Below are 5,958 nucleotides of genomic sequence, written 5' to 3'. Positions count from 1 at the left end.
AAGAAAAAAATGTGTTTTTCACATTCCCATTCTTTCCACATGAAAATGCTCTATTATCTGATGCTCCCAATAACCCTGAGTAGACAGAAGACTGTGGGTAGCCTAATAAAACTTATTCCCCTAAAAGACTCAGACATATTCTAGTTTCAAGGTCTTATTTTATTATTTCAATATAGTCACTATTTAAAAGTCTGCTTGAGGGATGGACCAAACTTTTTCTTTGCCTGTCTCCTCACAGGCCCAGTGACCTTTATAAATGACAGCAAACCTCTGCTGAATGAAAGATGAAAGGAAAGAGGAAAACATTAAGATATTTTGTCCTACTTTTTTGTGACTTGTTGAAAATAATCATGGGGCCTATTTGTCACTCTGGAGCTTTGTCTCTTTTTCCCAGTAGCCTGTGACAGGCTCAATGAAAAAAGTGCAAGTGAAGATGAATTGGCAGCAGCATCATTTCTGCCCTGTCTCCTGGTCTTTCCAATTTTCCCTCAGATGAAATATATATACAATATCAAGTCAGTTAAGTGAAAGAAACGTCTAGAGGGAGAAGGAGAGTAACCAAGTCCTTTCTCTGGTATAGAAACAGCTATTAAAAATATCTGTCTCATTCAGTTTCAACAGTCCAGTTCTACTCCCCGTATTTATAACTGTAAAATGAAAATGTGTTTTCCCTGGGAAGGAAGAAATGACAGATGGTCCAGGGAGGCAGGGGATGGAGAGGAGATGAAAGGAGGGAACAGGGAACTTAGGCTAAATAAATACTAACAATCATAAACCAAGTTAAGGACAAAATTGTATTCTAGAAGACGTCAGAATGAAATATTTTAAGTTAAATAAAACAATTCACTCGAGAATGGAAAACAGTATGGCCCAGTGATCTTTATAAATGACAGAAAACCTCTGTTTGTAAATGACCTCTGTCTGTAAATGACTTCAAATGATGACATAGGATCATGTCACATGTAACGTAAATTTTCAAGCTGAAGTAAACTTTCAAGGTTCACTGAATCATCTGGCATAAGGATTCCTCATATAGTCACCTTGATGCAGAGTTACTGAGCCACTACCTAAACACACGGAACAGAAAACTTCTTTTTCAAGAGGCTTATCCTTTTGTTGGACACCATTTCCTTCCTTTGGACTAATGTAACTTACATTCCTCAGTCCTAATTTAACTACATTGTGCTACTTAAGATAAGTGAAATTCTTATACCATGTTTATGGTAAGAAATGTCTTCTCAAATTTCAATTTTTCTCTTGGCCAAACGTTCTTGTATTTTTTTGCTTTGGTTTTGTTTTTTTTCATTTTAGCCTATTACTACCTTGCAGAGTGGCTAGGTACTTATCATTGTATTTCACAGGCTTACTAGTTATTTATTGATTCTAAAATATATGCCTAATATTCATAACTCACTTTTTTGTAGGTGCTAGCTGGCTGAGGTATTAAATCAACATAAAACTGCTAAGCCACCCTGCATGGGTCATAGGCCTGTGAAAGGAAGATATGTACATAAAATATAATCCTTGTATTTGCAGGGTGACATATCTATAATCAGAAAGACCAGGCATAAAATTACTTCATATGTCTATTGCCTGCATTAAATAAAACAAACTAAAGGAAGTAAGTGGAAAATACTGGACTTAATTTCTAAACTATGATGTATACAATTAATATTTGTCATCTCTTTATTTGCTGTATTGTTAGTTATTTTTTTGTTTTTTGTTTTTTTTTTCAGGCAGTCATGCTTTCTCACCCAGGCTGGAGTGCAGTGGTACATCTTAGCTCACTGTAACCTCCGTCTTCCAGGTTCAAGTGATTCTCGTGCCTCAGCCTCCCAAGTAGCTGGTACTACAGGCGCATGCCACCATGCCCGGCTATGTTTTGCATTTTTAGTAGAGACGGGTTTCACCATGTTGGCCAGGCTGATCTCAAACTCCTGATCTCAAGTGATTTGCCTGTCTTGGCCTCCCAAATTGCTGGGATTACAGGTGTGAGCCACCACGCCCAGCCGGGAAGTTTTTTTTTTAAAGTAAGTGCTTTTATTGTTTATATTTTTCATGTGATTTCAAGTTTCTGCATTGCAAATCATTTTAACTTCAGAAAGTCAATCATCACATCTGGCAGGGAATATTTTATAATTAACCAGTAATTCAGAAATGCAAAGAAAAAACCTGGTTTTATTCTTCCTTGATGGTTTATTACCAGAAACAAAGTACCAATCAGTAGCAAGATAATAATATATTTCCAATTTTTAAAAAGTAATTCAGATTCCAACAAATAATTGTTGACAGAATCTTGAGAACTAAATGGTGCTACTTAACTGTGTTAATAAAGAGAAAATATCTTAATTCTCCTGTGCACATTTCTCCTTTTTTAATTATTTCTGACCTGTTCTTCTGATGTTTCTATTTACTATCAGTATTATTTACATAGTTAATAAGTGTTTTATAAAACGTACAATAAAAAAGAGCATGAAATTTGGAGCCAGATGAATGAGAATTTGCTTCTCTCCTGTTTCACTTGGTAGCTGTGCAACCCCAGGGAAGTGTATTAGTCCTGACTCTTCAGAGAAACAGAATCTAGAGAATTATTATAAGGAATTGGTTCACATAATTAAGGCTGACAAGTCTCCAGATCTGCAATTGGCTTTCTGAAGAGCTTTTTGTCAGATAGCATCTTCTGGACACTTTCTCCCACTGCTTGCCTGGATGCACATCTGAGGACTGACATCAGAGCCACAGCTATGACCTTGTGCATACCTCTGGACTTGCAACCCCTCAGGCCTTTCTTCTTGAAAGTGTCCCCTGAAAGTGTCTTCTAACATTCAGACTTCCAGAGTCAACTGCAAGCACTCAACAGAAGGAACATAAGGTTCCTTATGGAGAAACGAAGGCTTCCAAAATGGCTTTACACTGTGACCCCTTATCAAGCCCTCAGATGAGCATCCAAGGTAGCCAGGTCACTGTGGTATGGGAGATGTAAAGACTCCGTTGAAGCGGATGGCCCAGCTGAGCCAGGCCATCTCAAGAAACTCCTAGCTTATGAGAAACCCATGAGACTTGAGACACCCGCTCTCACAGAACCAGCTCCTTCTGAAGAAAGAAGCCACCATAGAGGTTAGGCCTCTGCAGAGGCCCCCAGCCTCCATATGGGGCCACGGCACCTGCTAAACTGAGATTTCCATATATAGCTGGACCACAAGAAAGAGCCCAGCCACCACGTGAAACCAGAAGCCAGGTGATCCCATCCTTAAGATCTCATTTAACTTTAATTACCTTCATAAAGGTCCTATCTCCAAATACTGTCACATTGCGGGTTGGAGCTTCAACATGTGAATTTTGGGAGAATATAATAGCAGTTAATTTGTCTTTTTAGACTAACTTTCTTCCCTTATAAAATACCATACTAAAATAAACACTATGAGTACTGAGTATTAAATAAGATGATTTTAAAATTTTCAGGAAAAGAGTACTTATCGAATGGTACCTATTATATCTTATAATTTATTGTGTCACATTTATTACCAAAAATCATATGATAATATTTAACATTTAACCGGGTAATTTAATTTATTTTGAAAGAATGTATTTGTTTCTATGTTTGTTCTGTTTTGTTTTAAAGTTTCTATGGTTCATTTTTTTCCTTCTTTCAGAGCTTGATCAGCATTAAATGTCATTTGTTGAAATTAACTAATTTTATTTTTACATGTTGCTATTCACTAATTACAGCATTTGTTTAGGTGTATAGTATAAAGTAAAATGTTTGCTTCCAAATTGCTAATTAATTTTCCATATTTTTAAGTATTGGTATGGAAAGATACAAACATAATCAAATTACCTTCAGCTGAAGGGAAAAATAGGTGGAAGAACAAGGATAAAAGAAAGTCTTATGGAATTATAACTTACTATTTTAACATTGAAACTAGGTAAATATTTTACTTGTGTCAAAAATTAAACCATATAAGCAATCCCAAAACTGTTGAGGGGAGGGAGACAGTGTATCTAATGTAATAACAATGGTTTTAAATCACGGAGAGAAAAAAATTGCTTAAAGTAAAATATTTTTCTATATATGCCTAGATTAACATAGCCTAATAATACAAATAACTTTAAAAAATCTTAAACACCATTGAATAGTCTTGAGTTAGTAGGCCTTTGCAATAGGTAGGTTGTAGAAAAAAATAATTTTGTTAAAATTGTTAAGAACCAAGGTAATCAGCAAAAGAGAAAAAAGTATGTAAGTATAAAATCAAAGAATTTAAGTGAAACTTGAAACCCTAAATTTGAGGAAGTATCAGAAAAAAATACATCAATGATATTTCTCTTAAAAATATTAATAGCCTACTCTACCAACTGAAAATATTTAGAAGCAAAAAGGTGAGGCTATGCTATCCTGCTATGAAGAAAGCGAAAAAGCATTAAAAGTCTAATCAGGTTATGACAAAAGGACAAAAATAATTTGACAGAGCCCTCTCCCAACATTGGACAATTTAAACAGCAGAAAGAAATAATAATGACTATGCCAAATAGAAATACAAGTATATAAAAGTTCATAACGTAATTATACCAAAAAAATAAATATCATTGGACACCATTGAATTTGCTAGAGCACTGACTCATTGCTTATTTTCCCTTATGTTTTAATGCAGAGTGCCAAATGGTTAATGTAGTAAATTTCTTATTCACACAATTTCTGCAAATAAAGACAGAAGGAGGATCGAGTTACCACTTGAAAATAATACATTACCATTTGAAAATAATATGTAAATAAGTGCTAAAACCATTTATCATGATCTTAATGATGTAATGCTAAAAGATCACCCATAAAGAATTCTTGCCCATATATCAAGCCTATAGCTCTACTATCAGTCTATAGAAATTAATGAGAAAGGAGGAGTAAAATAACTCTATGAGGCAAAAATCAGCAAACTCAAAAGCCTCTCTGATACACTTGGTGATTTAAGTCAACTAGGTATTAGATGATATTAACGAACTACTGTTAATTCCCAAGTGTTCATAATGACATGAATGTTATGTCAAGAGAAAAGTTCTGAGCCATACATGATAACTGTGATTAGCTTTTAAATAATACAGAAAAATGTGTGCACATATATACATACATAAAATAAGGGGAATGTGAAACGGTATTGGCAAAGTTGATAATTGTTGAAGCTAGGTGATGGTAAATGGAAGTTCGTCATACAATTAGCTTTATTTTTACGTGTGTTTGAATTTTTTTAATAAAATGAAAAGAAGCCACATAAAACCAAAATCATTTGTGAACAAAATTTATGAAGAAAAAATAAGCGTAAGAAATTTGTAGAGAAATCAGGATTAGGCAGAGAAATTGGTAAAATATTATTGTCTCTAAATATTTCCAGTTCCAGTCTTTATGACATTAGAATTTATTCTTTTCTTTCTCAAAGGTCTGTTACTGCTTTTTCAACCAAACAAGCCTAACTTAAATGCTATTTCAAAAGAACAAAAATGCTGGTGAATAATAACTAAAAATAGATTAAAACCTTATTACTAATTAAGATTCAAATGAAACCTATAGCTAGTATCATACTTAATGGGAAAAAACTAAAAGCTTTTCCTCTAAGATCTGAAACAAAACAAAGATGTCCACTTTCACCACTGTTATGCAACACAGCACTAGAAATCCTAGCTAAAGCAACCAGACAAGAAAAAGAAATAAAGGGCATCCAAATTGGAAGGGGAGAAGTCAAATTAATCTTACTTGGAAATGATATAATTTTATAGATATAAAAGCCTAAATGTTCCACCAAAAATCCTATTAGAACTGATAAACAAATTCAATAAAGTTGCAGATACAAAATCAACATATAAAAATCAATAGCATTTCTATATGCCAACAGTGAACAATCTTAAAAAAGAACCCAAAAAGGAACCTCATTTACTATAGCTACAAATGAAATAAAATACCTAGGAATAAAT

General features: G+C 34.0%; 1 annotated feature.

Moving 5' to 3' along the window:
- Window positions 1,062-1,262: a silencer, noted in NCBI's record as "peak6816 fragment used in MPRA reporter construct". NCBI's record gives its function as "represses an SCP1 promoter by STARR-seq MPRAs in K562 erythroleukemia cells {active_cell/tissue: K562}" and the evidence as "EXISTENCE:reporter gene assay evidence [ECO:0000049][PMID:32103011]".

This window comes from Homo sapiens, chromosome 7, assembly GCF_000001405.40.
Source record: "Homo sapiens chromosome 7, GRCh38.p14 Primary Assembly".
Classification (NCBI taxonomy): Eukaryota; Metazoa; Chordata; class Mammalia; order Primates; family Hominidae; genus Homo; species Homo sapiens.
The sequence above is the reverse complement of the archived record's forward strand: the minus strand, read 5'-3'. Positions and strand labels throughout refer to the sequence as shown.